This window comes from Homo sapiens, chromosome 15 (genome assembly GCF_000001405.40).
Source record: "Homo sapiens chromosome 15, GRCh38.p14 Primary Assembly".
In the NCBI taxonomy this organism is placed as follows: Eukaryota; Metazoa; Chordata; class Mammalia; order Primates; family Hominidae; genus Homo; species Homo sapiens.
The window spans coordinates 22,495,233-22,517,865 of record NC_000015.10 but is presented as its reverse complement, the minus strand read 5'-3'; the positions used below and the strand labels follow the sequence as shown (position 1 = coordinate 22,517,865).

Genomic DNA, 22,633 nt, shown 5'->3' with positions numbered 1-22,633 from the left:
GGCTCACGCCTATAATCCCAGCACTTTGGGAGGCTGAGGCGGGCGGATCACGAGGTCAGGAGATTGAGACCATCCTGGCTAACACGGTGAAACCCTGTCTCTACTAAAAAATACAAAAAATTAGCCGGGCGTGGTGGTGGACACCTGTAGTCCCAGCTACTTGGGAGGCTGAGGCAGGAGAATGGCATGAACCCAGGAGGTGGAGCTTGCAGTGAGCTGAGATCGCGCCACTGCACTCCAGCCTCAGCGACAGAGCAAGACTCCTTCCCAAAAAAAAAAAAAAAGAAGAAGAAATACTTTCTTCAGACTAATGCTCTCCCAACTGAGCTATTTCAACTTAGAATAAATACTTTCTAAAGTGGTAGCTTTATCCACGTTGATGACTCTCAAGCAGGGGGACCAACGAACTTCAACAGTGGTTCTCAACCAAGGATCTTTTCAGATTCAACAAGTTTAGGGTGTATACAAGCATCCATTTTTTTAAACCTCAATGGGGACTCTGAAACACAGCCACTGTTATGAACAACCTAATGATAGTCCTATTGAGCATGCAAAACTACAACGCTAAATAAGATTGTTCAATGGCATTTCCTTGCAGGCCAAAGGCTTCCAATAAGTGTTTAATACACCCCCAAAGAACACCACAAATGCAGCAAGACGGTTTTGCAATAAAAATGCCTTCAATTCACGTAAAACAATAAAATCCGGGCAGCTTGTATTAACTACCATTTTAGACAACAATCTCCAAAGTAAAAAGCAAAACTTCAAAGAGTTAAGCTCAAAGCTCCTGTTCCTATAGCACATTACAAAATTTCTATAAAATGCATTTTATAATGGTCTTTACCAAATAAAAAACACTAGTTAAAGGCCCTTACCTTTTCCAGGAGGGAGCTATCCGTTCTGGGTTGATTCTGTTCCAGTGTATACAATTTCTCCATCTTTAACCATTTCATTCCACAGACCACAGAGCCCATCTCTTGTGAATGCAAGCTGGCAATGATAAACGAGATAAGCTCACACTCACACTGCAATTTTTAAAGAATGATATGGGAAAAAATCTCAATCCCCCTTATGTATTCGATCATTCGGTAATAAAATCAATGATTTACTGAATTAGTGACTTAATCATTTTACATTTCATGAAAGTCATCCAAGAAATATAAATGAAAAGGTGCATAATAGTATAAATACTATTCTACCTCTTATGTAACATACAAGAAAAATGACACGTGGTCAGGCGAGGTGGCTCATGCTTGTCATCCCAGCACTTTGGGAGGCCGAGCGGGGCACATCACGGGGGATCAGGAATTTGAGACCAGCCTGGCCAACACGGTGAAACGCCGTCCCAACTAAAAATACAAAAAATTAGCCAGGCGTGGTGGCGGGCGCCTATAATCCCAGCTACTCACGAAGCCGAGGCAAGAGAATTGCTTGAACCCAGGAGGCAGAGGTTGCAGTGAGCCAAGATCGCGCCACAGCACTCAGCCTGAGTTGATAAGAGCGAGACTCGGTGTTAAAAAAAAAAAAAAAGAAAAAAAAGACACACACACAAACACACACACGTGCATATGCTCTGAAAAGATAAACCGAAAGCAAGTACCAATGACTACCTACGGGGAAATGGGGAGGGGACATGGACAAAGGCAGCAGGACCAGAAAAAGCAACAACATTGTGAGTATACTTTAGATGTCTTTACTTCTGAAACATACATGACTTTCATCCTCAAAAATTAAAATTAAATCATAAAAAAGCAAAACCTACAACTGGCAACAAGCAAATTAACCCATGCATATACAAAGAAAAGTATGTCAAGGGACTTTTGAACTACATATCATTAATAGAATATACTATAATGAAAAATAAAATATTTATCGGTATTGATAACACTCTCACAATTTTAGAACTACTTCATGTTGCACAATAAAGCAGTGTAAATACAATAAAACATGTTTATGATAAAGTATTAAATGTTCTCAGAAATTAAGGTTTTAGGCCGGCCATGGTGGCTCACACCCGTAATCCCAGCATTTGGCAGGCCAAGGCAGGTAAATCACTTGAGATCAGGAGTTCATGACCAGCCTGGCCAACATGGTGAAACCCCATCTCTACTAAAAATATGAAAAATTAGCCGGGTGTGCTGGTGCATGCCTGTAATCCCAGTCACTCGGGAGGCTGAAGCAGAAGACTAGCATGAACCCAGGAGGCAGAGGTTTCAGTGAGCCGAGATTATGTCACTGTGCTCCAGCCTGGGTAAACAGAACGAGACTCCATCTCAAAAAAAAAAAAAAAAAAAAAAAAAAAAAAAAAAATTAAGGTTTTCAGTGGAAAAGAGGAAAAAAAATCAAAGAAATTTTGAAAAACAACTTAAATTGGAAATCTATGAACTTTATTTTTGAATATATTTGCTTACTCTGTTTTTTAAAGGACTAGAATCAAAGGCAATCTGACAGCGGCACCCAGATTTTGGTCTCTTAGAACCATTTCCCGATAAAAGACGCTAGGGCTCTTGGGAAAATAAGTAGATTCAAGGGCCAGGGCAGACAAAGATGAGCCTGTTTCCTCAAAGAAAAAGCTGTTTCCTCAAACATGGCCAGGTGCGGTGGCTCACGCCTATAATCCTAGCATTTTGGGAGGCTGAGGCGGGCAGATCACTTGAGGTCAGGAGTTCGAGACCAGCCTAGCCAACATGCCGAAACCCCATCTTTTTTAAAAATACAAAAATTAGCTGGGCATGGTGGCAGGCGCCCATAATCCCAGCTACTTGGGAGGCTGAGGCAGGAGAATAGCCTGAACCCAGGAGGCGGAGGTTACAGTGGGCCAAGACTGTGCCACTGCACTCCAGCCTGGGTGACAGAGCAAGACTTTTTCTCAAAAAAAAAAAAAAAAAAAAAAAAAAAAAGCAGCTGTTCAAAGATGATAGGGACTCCTGGCCAAATTTATAATAATTATAATAACTGTGAGCATCAAAATCAAAAACGCCTTTGCTTGTCAACATTTGTGAGTCAGAAAAGGCTTCCCAGAACAGGAAAAGGGAGCATTTCAGACACTGGGGGAAGGCATCCATTCTGAAAACTGCGTATGTGACAGAAGCTCCCTTGTCTGGCAAAACAAAAGCCATTTTTAATTAAAAGAGACAGATGTTTGCCCATCTTTTTTTTTTTTTTAACTTCTGTGGATACACACTAGTTGTATGTATATATATATGGGTTATATATTCTATCTAACTCTTTTTTTTTTTTGGAGACGGATCTCGTTCTGGCACTAAGCTGGAGTGCAGTTGTGCGATCTCAGCTCACTGCAACCTTTGCCTTCTGGGTTCAAGGGTTTCTCCTGCCTCAGCCTCCCAAGTAGCTGGGACTACAGGCTCACACCACCACACCCAGCTAATTTTTGTATTTTTGGTAGAGATGGGGTTTCACCGTGTTGGCCAGGATGGTCTGGGTCTCTTGACCTCATGATCCACCTGACTTGGCCTCCCAAAGAGCTGGGATTACAGGCGTAAGCCACTGTGCCCAGCCCTATCTAACTCCATTTTTATACCCATTAACCATCCGCACTTCACCCCCACTTTATCCTTCCCAGTCTCTGATAACCATCATTCTACTCTATCTCCATGAGTTCAATTACTTTCATTTGCTTAGCACCTACAAATAAGTGAGAACATGCAAAGTTCGATTTTCTGGGTCTGGCTCATGACATTCTGTTCCTGACTTAACATAACGACCTCCAGTTCTATCCATGTTGTTGCAAACGGCAGTATCCCATTCTTTTTCATGGTTGAATAGTACTCCGTTGAGTATATATACCACATTTTCTTCATCCATTCATCTGCTGGGAACACTTAGGTTGCTTCCAAATCTTGGCTATTGAGAATAGTGCTGCAATAAACATGAGAGTGTACATATTTCTTCAACATACTGATATTCTTTCCTCTGGGTATATACCTACCAGTGGGATTGCTGAATCATATGATAGTCCTATTTTTAGTTTTTTGAGGAACCTCCAAGCTAATCTCCATAATGGCTGTGCTAATTTACATTCCCACCAACAGTGCACAAGGGTTCCCTTTTCTCTATATTCTTGCCAGCATTTGTTCTTGTCTTTTGGATATAAGCCATTTTAATTAGGGTGAGATAATATCTCATTATAGTTTTGATTTGCATGTCTCTGATGACCAACCATGTTGAGCACCTGTTCGTACTGCCTGTTTGTCATTTGTATATCTTCTTTTGAGAAATGTCTATTCAAATCTTTTGCCCATTCTTATTGGATTATTAGATTTTTTTCCTATAGAGTTGCTTAAGCTAATTATATATTCTGGTTATTAATCCTTTGTCAGATGGGTAGTTTGCAAATATTTTCTCCCATTCTGTGGGTTGTCTCTTCATTTTGTTGATTGTTTCCTTTGCTGTGCAGCTTTTTAACTCAATGTGATCCCACTTGTCCATTTTAGCTTTGGTTGCCTGTGTTTACGAAGTATTACTCAAGAAATCACTACCCAGTGCAATGTCCTGGAGAGTCTCCCCAATGTTTTCTTTTAGCACTTTCATAGTCTGAAGTCTTAGGTTTAAGTCTTTACTCCATTTTGATGTGATTTTCGTATATGGTGAGAGATAGTGGTCTAGTTTCATTTTTCTGCATATGGGTGCCCCATTTTCCCAGCACCATTTATCAATGAGGCTATCCTTTCCCTCATGTATCCTCCGGGCACCTCTGTCAAAGGTGAGTTCACTGTAGATGTATAGATCTGTTTCTGGGTTCTCTATTCTGTTCCATTGGTCTAGGTGTCTGTTTTTATACCAGTACCATGCTGTTTTGGTATACCTTTCTAGTAAACTTTGCACTTGATCTAAGCCAAAAAAGACCAGGAAGTGACTGTAGTATAATTTTAAGTCAGGTAATGCAATTTCTCCAGTTTTGTTTTTTGCTCAGGATGGCTTTGGCTATTCTGTCTCTTGTGATTCCATACAAATTTCAGGATTTTTTTTTCTATTTCTGTGAAGAATGTCATTGGTATTTTGATAGGGATTACATTGAACCTGTAGATTGCTTTGGGTAGTACAGACATTTTAACAATATTGATTCTTCCAATCCATGAACACAGAGTATCTTTTCCTTTTCTGTGTGTCTTCTTCAATTTTCTGCATCAATGTTTTACAGTTTTCGTGGTAGAGATCTTTTCACTTCTTGGGTTAGGTTTATTCCTACGTATTTTACTTTATTTGTAGCTATTATAAATGGAATTATTTTTCTTGATTTATTTTTCATATTGTTCACTGTTGACATATAGAAATGCTACTGATTTGGCTGGGCAAAGTGGCTCATACCTGTAATCCCAGCACTTTGGGAGGCCGAGGCAGGCGGATCACCTGAGGTCAGGAGTTCGAGACCAGCCTGGCCAATGTGGTGAAACCCTGTCTCTACTAAAAATACAAAAATTAGCCAGGCCTGGTGGCAGGCGCCTGTAATCCCAGCTACTCAGGCGGCTAACACAGGCGGATCGCTTGAACCCAGGAGGCAGAGGTTGCAGTGAGCCGAGATTGCGCCATTGCTTTCCAGCCTGGGCCACAGAGTGAGACTCCATCTCAAAAAAAAAAAAAAAAAAAAAAAAGAGAGAGAGAAATGCTACTGATTTTTGTATGTTAATTTAGTATCCTGCAATTTTACTGAATTTATCAGTTCTAATCATTTTTTGGTGGAGTTTTTAGGTTTTTCCAAATACAACAATCATCTGCAAACAAGAGTAACTTGGCATCTTCATTTCCAATTTGGATGCCCTTTATTTCTTCTTCTTTTTTTTTTTTTTCTGAGATGGAGTCTTGCTCCATAGCCCAGGCTGGAATACAGCGGCACAATCTCAGCTCACTGCAATCTCCACCTCTGGGGTTCAAGTGATTTCCCTGCCTCAGCCTCCCGAGTAGCTGGGACAACAGACACCCGCCACCACGCCTAGCTAATTTTTATATTTTTAGTAGAGATAGGGTATCACCATGTTGGCCAGGCTTCAAACTCCTGACCTCAAGTGATCCACTCACCTCAGCCTCCCAAAGTGCTGGGATTACAGGTGTGAGCCACTGCACCCGGCCTTTCTCTCTCTTATCTGACTCCTCTAGCAAGGGCTTCCATTATTATATTGAATAACAGTGGTGACAGTGGGCATCCGTGTCTTGTTCCAGATCTTAGAGGAAAGGCTTTCAGTTTTTCACCTTTCAGTATGATACTAGCTGTGTGTCAGTTGTATATGGCTTTTATTGCGTTGAGGTGTGTTCCTTCTATAACCAGTTTTTTGGGGTTTTTATCATGAAAGGATGTTGAATTTTATCAAATGCCTTTTCAGCATGAATTTAAATGATCATATGGTTTTTTATCCTTCATTCTATTGATATGATGTATCAAACTGATTGATTTGGATATGGTGAACCATCCTGGCATCCCTGGGATAAACCCCACTTTGGTCATGATGAACGATGTTTCTAATGTGTTGTTGAATTCGGTTTGCTGGTATTTTGTTGGGTATTTCTGCATCAATGTTCATCTGGGATACTGGCCTGTTTTGTTTTTTTGATTATGTCTTTGTCTGGTTTTGGTATCAGGGTAATATTGGCCTTCTACAATAAGTTTGGAAGTATTCCCTCCTCCTCTATTTTTCAGAATAGTTTCACTAGGATTGGTAATAGTTCTTCTTTAAATGTTTGGTAAAATTCAGCAGTGAAGTCACTGGGTCCTGGGGTTTTTCTTTGCTGGAAGACTTTTTATTATTACAGTTTCAATCTCATTACCTGTTATTGGTATGTTCAGGTTCTGGATTTCTTCATGGTTCAAACTTGGAAGGCTGTATGTGCCTGTGAAATTATCCATTTCTTTTTCCTTCTTTTTTTGAAGACACAGTCTCACTCTTTCACCCAGGGTGGAGTGCAGTAACATGATCTCAGCACACTGCAACCTCCCCCTCCCAGGGCTCAAGTGACTCTCGTGCCTCAGCCTTCCAAGTGGCTGGAATTACAGGCACGCAAAACCACACCTGGTTAATTTTTGTATTTTTAGTAGAGATGGAGTTTCACCATGTTGGCCAGACTGGTCTCAAACTCCTGACCTCAAGCGATCCACCCGCCTCAGCCTCCCAAGGTGCTGGGATTACAGGTATGAGCCACCACGCCCAGCCTGCAAACTTATCTATTTCTTCCACGTTTCCCAATTTATTGACATATAGCTGTTCATAGTCTCTAATGACCCTTTGAATTTCTGCAATATCAGTTGTAATGCCTACTTTTTCACCTCTGATTTGGGTCTTCTTTTTCTCTTAGCCTGCCTGAAAGCTTGTCAATTTATCTTTTAGAAAAACCAACTTTTCATTTCATTGATCTTTTGTATTATTTTCTTCATTTCAACTCCATTTTATTTCTGCTCTAATTTTTATTATTTCTGTCCTTAAAATTATGGGTTTGGTTAGCTCCTTCATTTCTAGTTCTTTAAGATGTATCATTAGGTTATTTATTTGAAGTTTTTCTACTTTTTTGATTTTCCTCTTAGTATTGCTTTCACTATATCCCACAGGTTTCGTATGCTGTGCTGCCATTGCCATTTGCTTCAAGAAATTGTTTAATTTCATTCTTAATTTCTTCACTGACCTGTTGGTCATTCAGGAGCATATTGTTTAATTCCCATGTGTTGGTGGAGTTTCCAAAATTCCTCGTTATTGATTTTTAGTTATAGTCCATTGTGATCAGAGAAGATACTTAACATAATTTTTTTAACTTTTATATGGCAAAAGAGGAATCTAGCTTCATTCTTCTGCATATGAATATCAAGTTTTCCCAACACCATTTATTGAAGAGATTGTCTTTTCCCCAGTGTTTGTTCTTGGTACCTTTGTCGAAAATGAGTTCACCGTAGATGTGCGGATTTGTTTCTGGATTCTCTATTCTGTTCTGTTGGTCTGTGTCTGTTTTATGCTAGTACTATGCTGTTTTGGTTACTATAGCTCTGTAGTATAATTTGAAGTCAGGTAATCTGATTCCTCCAGTTTGTTTCTTTTTAATTACGAGAGCTTCGGCTATTCTGGGTCTTTTGTGGTTCAACATGAATTTTAGGATTTTTTTTTTTTCTGTTTCTGTGAAGAATGTCATTGGTATTTTGCTAGGGATTGCACTCAATCGGTAGATTGCTTTGGGTAGTATGGACATTTTAACAATATTGATTCTTCCAATCCATGAAGATGAAATATTTTTCCATCTTTTGTGTCCTCTTTAATGTCTTTCATCAGGGTTTTAGAGTTTTCATTACAGAGATCTTTGTAATTATCTTCTTTGGTTACTTCCCAGGTACTTAATTTCATGTGTGGCTACTATAAATGGGATTAGTTTTCTAATTTTTTTCATATTGTTTACTGTTGGCACACAGAAATGCTACTGATTTTTGTATGTTGATTTCGTATACTGCAACTGTACTGAATTTATCAGCTCTAATCATTTTCTTGTGGAGTCTTTAGGTTTTTCCACATATAAGATCATATCATCTGCAAACAAGGATAATTTGACTTCTTCCTTTCCAATGTGGAGGCCTTTTATTTCTTTCTCTTGTCTGATTGCTCTAGCAAGAACTTCCAGTACTATGTTGAATAACGGTGGCCACACTGAGCATCCTTGTCATGTTCCAGATCTTAGAGGAAAGACTTTCAGTTTTTCACCATTCAGTATGATACTAGCTGTGGGTCTGTCATATACGGCTTTTATTATGTTGAGGTATGTTTCTTCCATAATCAGTTTTAAGAGATTTTATCATGAAAGGATGTTGAATTTTATCAAATGCCTTTTCAGCATCGACTGAAATAATCACATGGTTTTTATCCTTCTGTTGACATGATGTGTCACATCGATTGATTTGCATATGTTGAACCATCCTTGTACCCCAGGGATAAACCCCACTTCATCACAATGAACGATCTTTCTAACGTATTGCTGAATTTGGTTTGCTAGTATTTTGTTGAGGATATTTGCATCAATATTCATCAGAGACATTGGCCTGTAGTATTCTTTCTTTGACGTGTCTTTGTCTGCTTTTAGTATCAAGGTTTCAATTTTTAATGACTTATTTTGTGGCCTAACATATGGTCTAACCTTGAGGACGATCCATGTGCTAAAGAGAACAATGTAAATTCTGCAGCCATCAGATGAAATGTTCTAGAAATATCTATTAAATCCATTTGGTCTACAGTGCAGATTAAGTTTGATGTTTCTTCGTTAATTTTGTCTGGATGATCTGATCTGTCCAATGCTGAAGTGGAGTGTTGAAGCCTCCATCTATTAATGTATTAACGCCTCTCTCTCTCTTTAGCTGTAATATTTGTTTTATGTATCTGGGTGCTCTAGTGTTGAGTGCATATATACATATATTTATAATAGTTATAGCCTCTTGCTGAATTGGCCCCTTTATCATTACATAATGACTTTTTTGGTCTCCTTTTATAGTTTTGGTCTTGAAATTTATTTGGTCTGATATAACCGCTATGCTCTTTTGTGATTTCCATTTGCCTCTCCCTTTTTCCATCCCTCTGCACTGTCCTGAAGAGATGGTCTCCAATCTGAAGAAGCAAGCAGCCAATGAACTGCCTGTGGGGAGGGGCAGCCTCCAAGAGCCCAGGGTTTCAGTCCCACAACCACAATGGATTCAATTCTACCAATGAGGACCTGAGCTCCAGATGACAGCGTGCCCTAGCCAACACCTTGACTACAGCCTGTGACACCTGAAGTAGAGGATAGAACTAAGCTATGGCCAGACTCCTGACCCACAGAAACTGTGAGAGTGTAAATGCTTGTTGTTACAAGCTGCCAAATTTGTGTTTGGTAACTTGTTCTGTAGCGACAGAAACCAAGCCAGCATCCTTCAGTTTTTGTAGAAGGAACAGCTTTCCCTCAGCACTGTTATTTTTTCTGTTCACATCACTAACAGGATAACTGCCATAAACATACTTGGAACCAAAACATATGACTTTTGGTAAAAATATCAGCTGGTGGGGGAGAGGTAAACTCCTTCCTAAAAAGTGAGCCCTGGCCAGATAGAGTGACTCACATCTCTAATCCCAGCACCTTGGAAGACTGAGGCAAGAGAATCACTTGTGCCCAGGAGTTCAAAACCAATCTAAGCAACATAGCAAGACCCTGTCTCTACAAAAAAATTGTAAAATTGGCCAGAAAGCTGGGCATGGTGGCTCACACCTGTAATCCCAGCACTTGGGAGGCCACGGCGGGTGAATTGTTTGAGCTCAGGAGTACAAGACCAGCCTGAACAACATGGCAAAACCGCATTTCTACCAAAAATACAAAAAATTAGCCAGAGGTGGTGGCGCGCCTGTACTCCCAGCTACTTGGGAGGCTGAGGTGGGAGAACTGCTTGAGACCAGGAGGTAGAGGCTGCAGTGAGTTGAGATCACTCCACTGTACTCCAGCCTGGGCAATAGAGCAAGACCCTGTCAAAAAAAATTTTTAATTTAAATTTAAAAAATTAAAATAATATAAAAAATAAAATTAAAAAGTGAGCCAAAAACATTCAGGGCCCCTGAAGTTTAACGAGTGAATGGAAAGCTTTGACTCTTCTAGTCTTCAGTCAGAGGAGAGCAGTGAATACGTGCACTGGGGTTCAGTCCAAACCCTACCACAATGCACATGATAAGAGGCTAACAGTGGTCAGAACTCACAGCTCCATGTGGGCCGTGCTCCAGGAGTTTCAGACTATCTTTAGGCACTCAAGGGAATACGACATTTGACCCGTGTCTTAAAGTGTTTCAGAAAACAGAAACAGAGAAGGTGAACTAAGAAGCTATTACTGGCCAGGCACGGTGGCTGACGCCTGTAATCCCAGCACTTTGGGAGGCCGAAGCGGGTGGATCATGAAGTCAGGAGATAAAGACCATCCTGGCTAACACAGCGAAAACCCATCTCTACTAAAAATACAAAAAATTAGCCAGATGTGGTGGCAACGCACCTATAGTCCCAGCTACTCGGGAGGCTGAGGCAAGGGAATTGCTTGAACCTGGGAGGCGGACGTTGCAGTGAGTGGAGATCGCACCACTGCACTCCAGCCTGGGTGACAGAGTGGGACTGCATCTCAAAAAAAAAAAAAAAAAAAAAAAGGCTATTACCAAGTGTCCAAAAAAGAAAGGATGACAGCAGAAGTCAACACAGGGAAGTACAGTCTTTAAGATTATTTCAGGCAGGGCACGGTGGCTCACATTTGTAATCCCAGCAGTTTGGGAGGCCAAGGTGGGCAGACTGCTTGAGCCCAGGAGTTCGAGACCAGCCAGAGCAACATGGTGAAACCCGGTCTCTACAAAAAATACAAAAATTAACCAGGCGTGGTGGTACGCACCTGTAGTCCCACTACTCAGGGGGCTGAAGTGGGAGGATCACCTGAGCCCGGGGAGGTTAAGGCTGCAGTGAGCCGTGACGGTGCCACTGCATTCCAGCCTGGGCAACAGAGTGAGACCCTGACTTAAAAAACAAAAAAAGAAACTATTTCAAATCACGTAAGTTAAATCAAATGTGAAAGGGAAAATAAGGGAGGGAACAGAAGAGGAATGAGAATTAGTTCCGTTTTAACCACTAAGATTTGCACTAACTACTGAACATAAACATGGAGCTCCTCCCCACTCCACCAACCCTCAGTAAATATAGATCCAGATCTTAGCAGAGTGTTCAGGGCTAGAGACTCAAATCTGGGAGTAGTCAACAAATGGACTGTAGGTGATGTCCTGGAGAAGATGCCAACACCCAAGCAGAGAGGGGAGACCCCTGCCCAGCCCTGAAAGCACTCTAAGATCGCCCCAGACTGGCTGGGCTCCACACATCAGTGTTCTGCGGTACAGCCTAGATTGAGAAACATTAGTGTTACAGAGGTACCATTTAAAAAAAAAAAGCCAAAAGATGGAACATTTAAAGACTAAGCCAAAGAGGAAGCCCAGTTTACATGGAAACAAGAATAATTACCACCACCTTTCGATTATTACCTGGGTAGCACTGGGAAGGAAGAGGATAGGCCAGACCTTGTCCTTCTGAGTAACAAGGAATTCTTTTTTGGAAGGTAGACACTGGACTCCTGGAAGGACATGCACTGTGGAAGCCTCCTAGGAACTGATGACCCAAATAAATGGTAAGCACCATTCAAAAAACTATTTGGGCACCTTAAAGGTGGAACATTACTAAGGCAATAAAGCAAGCCTCACTGGAGGAGGTCTCCAGAGAGTTAGACTCTGAACAAGCAAAAGTGAAGCCCAGAAGAGCTCTCCAGATCACAAACAGTACAGGATCCTGACTGAGGAAGCAGCAGCCTGGGAACAACTGGAAGACAGCCGTGGCACTGAGAAGAATGGAGACTACAGGCAGGGCGTGGTGGCCCACGCCGTAATCCCAGAGCTTTGGGAGGCCAAGACAGAAGAACTGCTTGAGGCCAAGATTTCAAGATCAGCCTGGGCAACATGGTAAGACCGTGTCTCTACAGAAATGTAAAAATTACCCAAGTGCATGGCACGTGCCTGTAATCCCAGCTACTCAGGAGGCTACAGCAGGACGGTCACCTGCACCCAGGAGTTTGAGGTTACAGTAAGCTCTGATCACACCACAGCATTCCAACCTGGGTGACAGAGACCCTATTCATTTAAAAAAAAAAAAAGAAAGAAAAAGAAAAAAATGAATGGGACTTTCCATTTGTAAAGTGAGAGTATTTATTTCTACAACTGTCTCCAATTAGCTTTTTATTAGTAGCTGACTTACCTAAACGTGCCCAGTAGCTTTTCAACTTTTGACTTTTTTGGTTCAGATCCCAGAAGCTTCTAATTAGGTTATTTGGGCTAAGAACTCTTTTCCAATCTTTTCCAATCTCACATTCCTATCTTACACCTCTGAAATGACATGGCAAGTAAAGGCACTTTCATCGTCAAAAGACCCCAGCAAAAGAGGCAGTAACAGGCTCACTTTTTGTAAGTTACTAAACTGAAGCTCAGAAGGCCAATGACTTGACCAAAGGCCACACAACACTGAGGCTGTGAGAGGCGGGATTTGGGAAGAGGCCCAACTCCAAGGCTTATTCGCTTCCCACCAACACCATAACATGCACCCACACCTGCAGCACGGCAGCCAGGGCAAGCCTTCACGCTCCCATACATAGGCCACCAATATTTTAATACCAATCAGGACTAGGCAAGCAAACAGTTAAGGCATTTTTTTTTTTTTTTTTTTTTGAGACAGAGTCTTGCTCTGTCGCCCAGGCTCGAGTGCAGTGGCGCCATCTTGGCTCCCCGGGTTCATGCCATTCTCCTGCCTCAGCCTCCCGAGTAGCTGGGACTACAGGCGCACGCCACCACGCCCGGCTAATTTTTTGTGTATTTTTAGTAGAGACAGGGTTTCACCGTGTTAGCCTGGATGGTCTCGATCTCCTGACCTTGTGATCCACCCGCCTCGGCCTGGGATTACAGGCGGGAGCCACCGCACCCAGCCCGTTAAGGCATTTATTAAAGTGACTTCAGAACTATAGAGTCAGGCAATAAAATCCAAAACTGAATAATATAACAAATGAATATCTGATTAATGTATAGGTTAGAAAATGTTTCTTTTTCATGTCCTTACAATTTGACAGAAAAGTAATCTTCAAATATTTGCAGATGAGTAAAGGTATACGGCTTTTTTTCTTAAACCTACAGAAAAATACTAAACACCTACTGAACGTAGGACAACATATGAAAAAATGTTAAGAACAGGTTCCTAGAACAATTAGAAAGGTCAGACAGGAACATTAAGTACGTCGATTTGAAGACATCCTAGAAGCAGCAAGGGAGTGAGGTCTTCCTAAAGTCTAAGACCCACGAGAGGAAGAAAGAGGCCCAGAGAACCTAAGCACGCAGGGATGAGACTGAGAAGCAAAACGGAGCTTCTGAGAGACTCCCAGGGCCCTCATACAGGAGAAAGAGGCCTGGCAGATCCCATGCTCTGAGCTGGAACCTCAAAGGGCCACACACCAGAAATACAGGTGAGTTAGAAGTAGACCAGCCTTCACGGAAAACCAGCCCAGTTTCGCATTCTCTCAATTTCCAAAGGGACTGCAGTGACCTGGGATTGCCTAGAACATCCTCTCTGGAGGAAGATATTGTTACCTAGAGCCTCGATTTATTGCTACAATATTGCATATACAATATCTGAAAGTCAAGCAAATATAATAATGACAAAGATACAAGACCACATCATTGAAAAATGAAAAAAAAATAGAAGTCATTAGAACAGACTGAGTAGATCCTGAAAACAGAAACATAAAGACTTCTGTCATGAAAGAAGAGCCTGAGGAATGAACTGAAGTGTTGACACTCTGCTCAGCAGATGTCAGCTCGGGGCAATGGGGTGAGGGAAGTGGGAAAGCGAGACAAGGAGATCAATGAAGTAACGATATGCAGTATATGACTTCACAGTCAGCTAAGTGTGATTTTAGCCTACTCTGCCTATGTAGGAGCCATTCTTATTTCCTTTAATTTCCTAAAAAAAGAAAAATATATATTAAAAAAGAGTGATTTTATATTTTTCAATGGTTGCAACATAATCAAAAGAATCATATGTCAGCCAAGCACGGTGGCTCACACCTGTCATCTCAGACTTTGGGAGGCCAAGGCAGGCGGATCACGAGGTAAGGAGTTCACGACCAGCCTGGCCAACATGATGAAACCCCATCTCTACTAAAAATACAAAAAAAAAAATTAGTGAGGCATGATGGTACACGCCTGTAATCCCAGCTACTCCAGAGTCTGAGGCAGAACAATTGCTTAAACCCAGGAGGTGGAGGTTGCAGTGAGCCAAGATCGCGCCACTGCACTCCAGCCTGGGCAACAGAGCAAGACTCCCTCTCAGAAAAAAAAAAAAAAAAAATCATATGTCAACAAATGAAAATTATATGACATTCAAATTCTGGTATCCACGAAGTTTTCCTGGAATATAGCCATACACATGTTTGGCAGCTTCTCGCAGGACAATGGCCAAGGTGAGCTGTTCTAAAAGAGCACGTACGGCCCACATAAACATTTACTATCTGGTGCTTTACAGAAAAAATGTGCTGACCCCTATGTTAGTGCCACCTCTTCTCAATGAGCTGCAAATACAACCAACTGTTCAGCCAGCACATTCACTAGGCATATGTGGCTTTTCCAGAAGGTTTGCAAGAAGAAACTACACCATAAAATAGTCCAAAGAGGAAAGAAAAAAGGGAGGAATAAAAACACTGAGTTCCCTCATCTCTCCTTGTAAAGTGGTGAACGTTCATACCACAAGGAATTCACACCCACACACACTCGCCACACCTTCCAGGCTGTGTCACTGGCTCCTTGGTAGGCAGTCAGGAAGCCATACTCCAACTCTCTTGCGTGACATCACAGCGGAGACTGGAGCCGAAGGGCGGCTCACAGGCATGAGTCAGCCAAGAGGGACAGAGAGAGGCGGCTAAGGAATCTATGGGGTCGGACAAGGTTTATAAACACACTTTTAAAATAACTACCTTTAATAGAGTCAAGCAATTAAAAGATCCTATTAACAGCCGGGCACGGTTCATGCTTGTAATCCCAGCACTTTGGGAGGCCAAGGCAGGCGGATCACGAGGTCACGAGTTCAAGACCAGCCTGGCCAATCTGGTGAAACCCCATCTCTATTAAAAATACAAAAATTAGCCAGGTGTGGTGGCAGGCACCTGCAGTCCCAGCTACTCGGGAGGCTGAGGCAGGAGAATCACTTGAACCCAGGAGATGGAGGTTGCAGTGAGCCGAGATTGTGCCACTGCACTACAGCCTGAGCGACAGAGCGAGACTCCTTGTCAAAAAAAAAAAAAAAAAAAAAAAGATCACATTAACAATTTCAACACAGAAGTTGAAACTAGAAAAAAGTACCTAAAGTGGCAGTTAAAGAAACTGTCAAACATTTCAAACTAAACATTTTAAAGGGATGTGTTTAATATAATTATACCTCAATAAAGTTGATATGTTTAAAAAATGGAAATTCTGGAATAGAAAAATATAATAGTAAAATTTAAAACTCAATGGATTTGATTAAAAACAGATTGGGAAGGCCTGTGCTTCCTCCACCTATAAAGGATGAATTCTGTAGAAATCACTTCCTTGCTATAATCAACTAGAAAACCAGACAGAATATACCGAAAAGCTGTTACCAAAAACTGGACAACAGACAGCCCAGAGCTGGGATCCCTGAGAGAAGGGAAACACTGCCCAGAAGCAGCTTCCAGGCTGCAGCACAGGAAAGGGGAACCCAAATAGAGCCCAAAGAACTTGCTGAGCTCAGGAGACAGATCAGCTATACGTAGGCCAAATGACAAGAATACAGCAAGCTCCAGAGATGAGTGGAGGGGCCCCTTGAGTATCTGTCTGAGTACTACTCTGAGCATAGGTTAAGAAAACTATGGAATACTGGGGAAAGCAGCACTAGAAAGTAATAAGCAGCACTGCCATGATGCACAGTCTGGGAAAAGCCTGTGTTTCCACAAACAAGGAAAGAAAGATCTTCTCATACACCAAGCATCAGGTGGAGTCCTGAGAACAGTATTGCCTTCGTTGTATGGATAAATGAGCCCAAGAGTAAAGCCTGTGTGGATCAGCCTAACAAACCTCAGAATCAAGCTTTGAAAAGATCAAACTGACCCCATGTAACTTACATGTATGGCAGAAGAAAACTAAGGCTCTTTAAAAAAATAAAACAAAATCCTGCACAGAAGATAAAATTAATGCCTAGCATTCAATCAAAAATTAGCAGGCATACAACCATGCCCCCATAACTAGGGCAATCAATCAATAGAAATGACAGAATCAATCAACAGAGATGGATCTAGAAGTGATCAGAGATTACAGAATTCACAGACAAGGACATTAAAAGCTCTCTTACAGAAATGCTCCCTATACTAATAGAAGGAAAGCATGAATGTTATAAGGAGTGAAACAGAAGATATAAAAAGGACTCAAATGGAATCTCTAGAAATGAAAATACAAAATGGATGGATGAGATTAACAGAACTGCATAACAGTTACAACCATAATCTACAATGTCTAAGCACATGGCTATGCCATGCTCTCTCCCTTAACACTCATGCAGTCTAGGTTTAACAAATAACTGTTTCATGCCCATCATCAGTTGCAGGTTGATCTACAGTCATCCAGTTGTCTAAAGATCTTTCTCCACTCCATTCCTAAGGAAGGGCTCATGAGAACAATACTTCCTAAGTTACAGCTCACTGAGAAGTTTGTGTGTTTTTCATCTGAAAAGTCGGTTTTGCTGGAACAAAAAATGCTTTACTCACATTTTCTTTTCTTGAGTGCCTTAAACAGGATACTCAATTTCTTCTTCATAAAGAATTGTCATCTGCTGGGCTCAGTGGCTCACTGCTGTAATCCCACCACTCTGGGAGGCCAAGGCAGGTGGACTGCCTGAGCTCAGGAGTTCAAGACCAGCCTGGGCAACATGGTGAAACCCCATCTCTACTAAAAATATAAAAAATTATCTGGGTGTGGTGGTGCACACTTGTAATTCCAGCCACTTAGGAGGCTGAGGCACGAGAATGGCTTGAACCTGGGAGGTGGAGGTTGCAGTGAGCTGAGATAGTGCCACTGTACTCCAACCTGGGCAACAGAGTGAGACTCTGTCTCAAAAAAAAAAAAAAAAAAAAAAGGAATTGTCATCAAAGTCCTACGGCTAAACCCTTTTCCTTTTTTTTATAACAAGTATTGCTAGTCTTTTCCAAGAACCAAAGTTAAAAGTTAGTTCTTTAAAACACCAGGCCAGGCACAGTGGCTCACATATCTAATCACAGCACTTTGGGAGGCCAAGGCAGGAGGATCACTTGAATGCAGAAGTTCTAGACCAGCCTGGACAACAAAGCAAGACCCTGCCTCTACAAAAAACTTTTTTTTTTGCTGCAAAATGCTCTTAATTAACCTGACAAAATGCCACATACAGGGTTACTGCATCTTTTTTATCATGGAATTTTGAAAACAAAAATTGTTCTCTTGAGGCAGCAGTATTTGGATATTAGAGGTAAAAACCACCCTTAGAATCCAGTCCTAAAAACATCAATGAATATTCCTATATTTACAAATTCTTCTATTTCTACATGTCATCTATCAACAGGATTATGAACCTGAAAGCCTGAGAATAGAATTTATCAAGATACTCATGTTTGTACTTTTTTTATCTACTGCCCTTTTTTATTTTTTTTGAGACAGATTCTCACTCTCTCACCAGGCTGTAGTGCAGTGGCGCGATCTCAGCTCACTACAACCTCCGCCACCTGGGTTCAAGCGATTCTCCTGCCTCAGCCTCCTAAGTAGCTGGGACTACAGGCACGTGCCACCACACCCAGCTAATTTTTGTATTTTTAGTAGAGATGGGGTTTCACCATGTTGGCCAGGATGATCTCGATCTCCTGACCTCAGCCTCCCAAACTGTTAGGATTACAGGCTAAGCCACCACACCCGGCCATCTACTGATATTTCTAAGCATGAAGTGACATTTTTTTTTTTTGAGAAGGAGTCTTGCTGTGTTGGCCAGGCTGGAGTGCAATGGCATGATCTCGGCTCACTGCAACCTCCACCTTCTGGGTTCAAGCAGTTCTCCTGCCTCAACCTCCCAAGTAGCTGGGATTACAAGCGCACACCACCACACCTGGCTCATTTGTATTTTTAGTAGAGACAGGGTTTCACCATGGGGGCCAGGTTGGTTTTGAACTCCTGACCTCAAGTGATCCGCCCTCCTCGGCCTCCCAAAGTGCTGTGATTACAGGCGTGAGCCACCGCGCCCAGCCGAAGTGACAATATTTATATACAATAAGTTTAACTGTAAAAGCTTACATTTATGCGTGGTCATTTTTAATTGATGATTAGATGAAGAGACAAATAAATGGTCCCAGTTTAGCTACTGATATACTCAACAAACCTTGACGGACCTGAGGGCATTATGCTGAGTAAAGAAAATCATTTCCGAAGGTCACATATCACTTGGTAATCTCACAGTAACAAAATTATAGAGATGGAGAACAGATCAGTGGTTGGCAGGAGTTAGAGATGGTGGCAGAAGAGAGGCAGGAGAGAGATCTTTCTGGTGATGAAACAGTTCTGCATAGGAAATTGTAGTAGTAGTTATATTTACAGACACTTGATAGAATGGCACAGAACTACGCACACACATTGTACCAACTTCAATTTCTGGGTTTTTATACTCTATTATGGTTACATAAAATGTAACCACTGGGGCAGTATGCGCAAATATACAATGACCTCTCTAGTTTCTTTACAACTTCCTGAGAGTCTATTATTATTTCAAAATAAAAAGTTTTTTTAAAAATTGCTTCATGCATATCTAGTTTCATGTGCCACTTAAAAAAGAACCCAAAAATAGAAACTGTAGGAAATTCATCTGAGTGCAGCTTATGCAAGAAGGGGCAGGATAACTCCATTCTGGACCTATGCTCAAAGACATGCACCTTTACCTTACAACAAAACTGGCGAACAGGCATGTGTTTTAAGAATAAAAAGCTTTTAAGGTCTCATATATTGGTTTTTATGATTCCTTTGCTTAACTGACTTTTTGGTTTGCTAAAAAACTACCAATCACATCAGATTAGAAGTACTTTCACGGTAAAAATAAAAAGTGATGTGACTGACACCTCTTACCTCTGTAATGTATTACTCTTCACGAGAGCAGTGAAGGAAAACATGGTGATTCAATCACTCCACACATCAAGCAGAAAAGAGTGTTGAACAGGCCGGGCGCGGTGGCTCACGCCTGTAATCCCAGCACTTTGGGAGGCCGAGGCGGGTGGATCACTTGAGGTCAGGAGTTCAAAACCAGCCTGGCCCACATGGTGGAACCCTGTCTCTACTAAAAGTACACAAAATTAGCCAGGCGTGGTGGTGGACACCCGTAGTCCCAGCTACTCGGGAGGCTGAGGCAGGAGAATGGCATGAACCCAGGAGGCTTGCAGTGAGCCAAGATGGCACCACTGCACTCCAGCCTGGGAGACAGAGTGAGACTCCGTCTCAAAAAAAAAAAAAAAAAGTGTTGAACAATTAAACTGTTTATATGTAATAACCAGATATATATGCCTGGCATAAAATGAGCCCTGCATTAGAGGTTGCTGGATGTAGGGTCCTAGGCCTGACGTATCCAAATAATGTCTATGATAAAGAAGTCAATAAGTGCTCTCTATAACACACAAGCATTATAAGTTTTCACACTCCAAAAACTCTTCCTTTCTAAAGTTACTAAAACTTTTAAGGGCATTTCGAACAAAAACAGCTGTGGAAAACAGATCGGTTAAATCCTATGGCTAAGAAACATCTTCCTATCCCATGTATTATTCATTACCCAGGTGTCAATTCTGTTTCCAATACAAAAGTCTCAAGCAGTGAAGCGCTTCCCACTCCAGCTGGGAGAGCCATCCTCAACAAGATAAGGGTAAAACCTGTGAGCACAAGGCTTCCATCTGCAATTCCTGTCTGCAGGGAAGCTCCCCAAAGAGGGAAACCATGTCTTATTCCTTACGGTAAAACACCACCATTCATTCCTTGTGTTTAACAACCAATGCTGGTGGAACATAAAACAAAACTTAGCAATCACTTTTTTCATGCTACTTAGACCTGTAACACATTTTTCCTCTGGTGCACACTATCCAAAACCTAGTCGTTTCCCTTACTCCTAGGAGGAATTTAGATGACTTTTTTTTTTTGGCCAGGTGCAGTGGCTCACGCCTGTAATCCCAGCAATTTGGGAGGCCGAGGCAGGCAGATCGCTTTGAGGTCAGGAGACCAGCCAGGCCAACACAGTGAAACCCCATCTCTACTAAAAATACAAAAATTAGTCGGGCATGCATGGTGGCACACACTTGTAATCCCAGCTACTCGGAAGGCTGAGGTGGGAGAATCACTTGCATTCGGGAGGCGGAAGTTGCAGTGAGCCAAGATTGCGCCACTGCACGCCAGCCTGGGCGACAGAGCAAGACTGCGTCTCAAAAAAAAGACTTTCTAATCATATTGGAAATGTGTAACAAGGACCAAGTACTGTGTATTAAACTTAATAAATCAAAACAACAGGCCCTCTAAGATATAAATGGTGCTTCACTGTATGTTTATCTGCCCAACCCATCATAGGAACTCAATTCAGCATTAAACTGGTTTTAGATCAAGACACTAGAACTCATGTTTAGCAGTTATTAAATTACAATTATTAAGAAAAAAACTTCATTACGTAAAGTCCTTTACTCCAAAAAGTTTCTCAAAATACATAAACACTAATATAAAAACAACTATTAAAACTTTGCCTGAATCTCAGGATTTCAGAAATATGAAAGTACTCATCTCTCACGTCTCCCATCCACTTAAAATGACAAAACAGATCATTATAGCTAAATCAAAGGAAATGTTTAAAGAGAAACAAACCCAAAGAGTAACTACACCAATTCTTGACCCAATTCTCTGTACTCTGTCTTATGTAACATTACACTATGAATAACAATCCCATCATCCACAACAGCTTTTTTTTTTTTTTTGAAAAAAAAGCTCTCATTGTCCAGGCTGGAGTGCAACGGCACAATCTTGACCCACTGCAACCTCCACCTCCCGGGTTCAAGCGATTCTCCTGCCTCAGCCTCCCGAGTGGCTGGGATTACAGGCATACACCACCACGCCTGGCTAATTTTGTATTTTTAGTAGAGACGGGGTTTCACCATGTTGGTCAGGCTGGTCTCCAACTCCTGACCTCAGGGAATGAGTGAGTTTCTATAGGCCATAATTACTGCAACTTACTTCTCCAATTTTCCCCTCCACAGTTAACTCAACAGCTCAAAAACGATCAGTAACAAACAACAGTCACCATGATATGGTTAGGAGTGTGGCAGATTTCTTAACCAGTAATAATAAATAGGAAAAAAATTTTCTCTATTAATAGATCTCAAGTTTCGTGCACTTGCAAGAAACTAATTAAAAGGCAGCCGCGCACGATCTACAAAAACAGCCATAAGACTGTTACATTTTAAGTTACAGGAAATAAACCTGCTCCTCTAATTCAGCAAGATACAACTGACTTCCCCTTACATACCCTAAAAAAAAGCCTTACACGAGAAATTTAAACATGGAAGCAGAAACACACCAAGAAAAAGACATGTCAAACCCCACCTGTATATCTGTTTTCAACCATTTGGAGTCGAGGCGAGCCTGGGCAGCCAAACACAAAGATTCAGAGGGCATCTTTTCTCCAGCTTCCTCCCAGGTCTCAGGCCTGCAAGTAAACACATACGCTGAAGACCTAATGCTTTTTAATAGTTTACAAAGACACTCCCGAAAGGTTCAATGCAGAAAAGAAAAAAGAGAGAGAGAACAGAAAGGGGGGAGAGAAGAGCTGGTGGAGGGGAGAGAAGGGGAGAGAGGGAAAGAGGGAAGAGATGGAGAGAGAGGGAGGTGGGGAAGGGAAAGCCTGCTTCCAAGGTAGGCAGGGTGTGCCGAGTTTCTGCACCACGCTGACGAGACCTTGAGAATGGACGGTCACAGGAAGCCAAGTTACAATGTCATCCCCCTGCCCTCAAATCCAAGAAGTACACACACATAACAGGGAGCCC

At 41.7% G+C, this 22,633-nt stretch overlaps 1 pseudogene across 1 annotated transcript in view, besides 1 other annotated feature; it reads right to left on the bottom strand.

Moving 5' to 3' along the window:
* Window positions 1-22,633, bottom strand: part of HERC2P2 (HERC2 pseudogene 2) — a 95,995-nt pseudogene that overhangs the window by 72,966 nt on the left and 396 nt on the right. The window contains exons 2-3 of the transcript NR_002824.3: window positions 22,194-22,296; window positions 876-990 (exon numbers count right to left, since the gene is read on the bottom strand). The product of NR_002824.3 is annotated as an HERC2 pseudogene 2 (transcript). The remainder of the gene's footprint in view (window positions 1-875; window positions 991-22,193; window positions 22,297-22,633) is intronic.
* Window positions 20,094-20,748: an enhancer, noted in NCBI's record as "OCT4-NANOG hESC enhancer chr15:23375324-23375978 (GRCh37/hg19 assembly coordinates)". NCBI's record gives its function as "activates a minimal SCP1, AML or CMV promoter by ChIP-STARR-seq in naive and primed H9 embryonic stem cells {active_cell/tissue: H9 hESC(naive and primed)}" and the evidence as "EXISTENCE:reporter gene assay evidence [ECO:0000049][PMID:30033119]".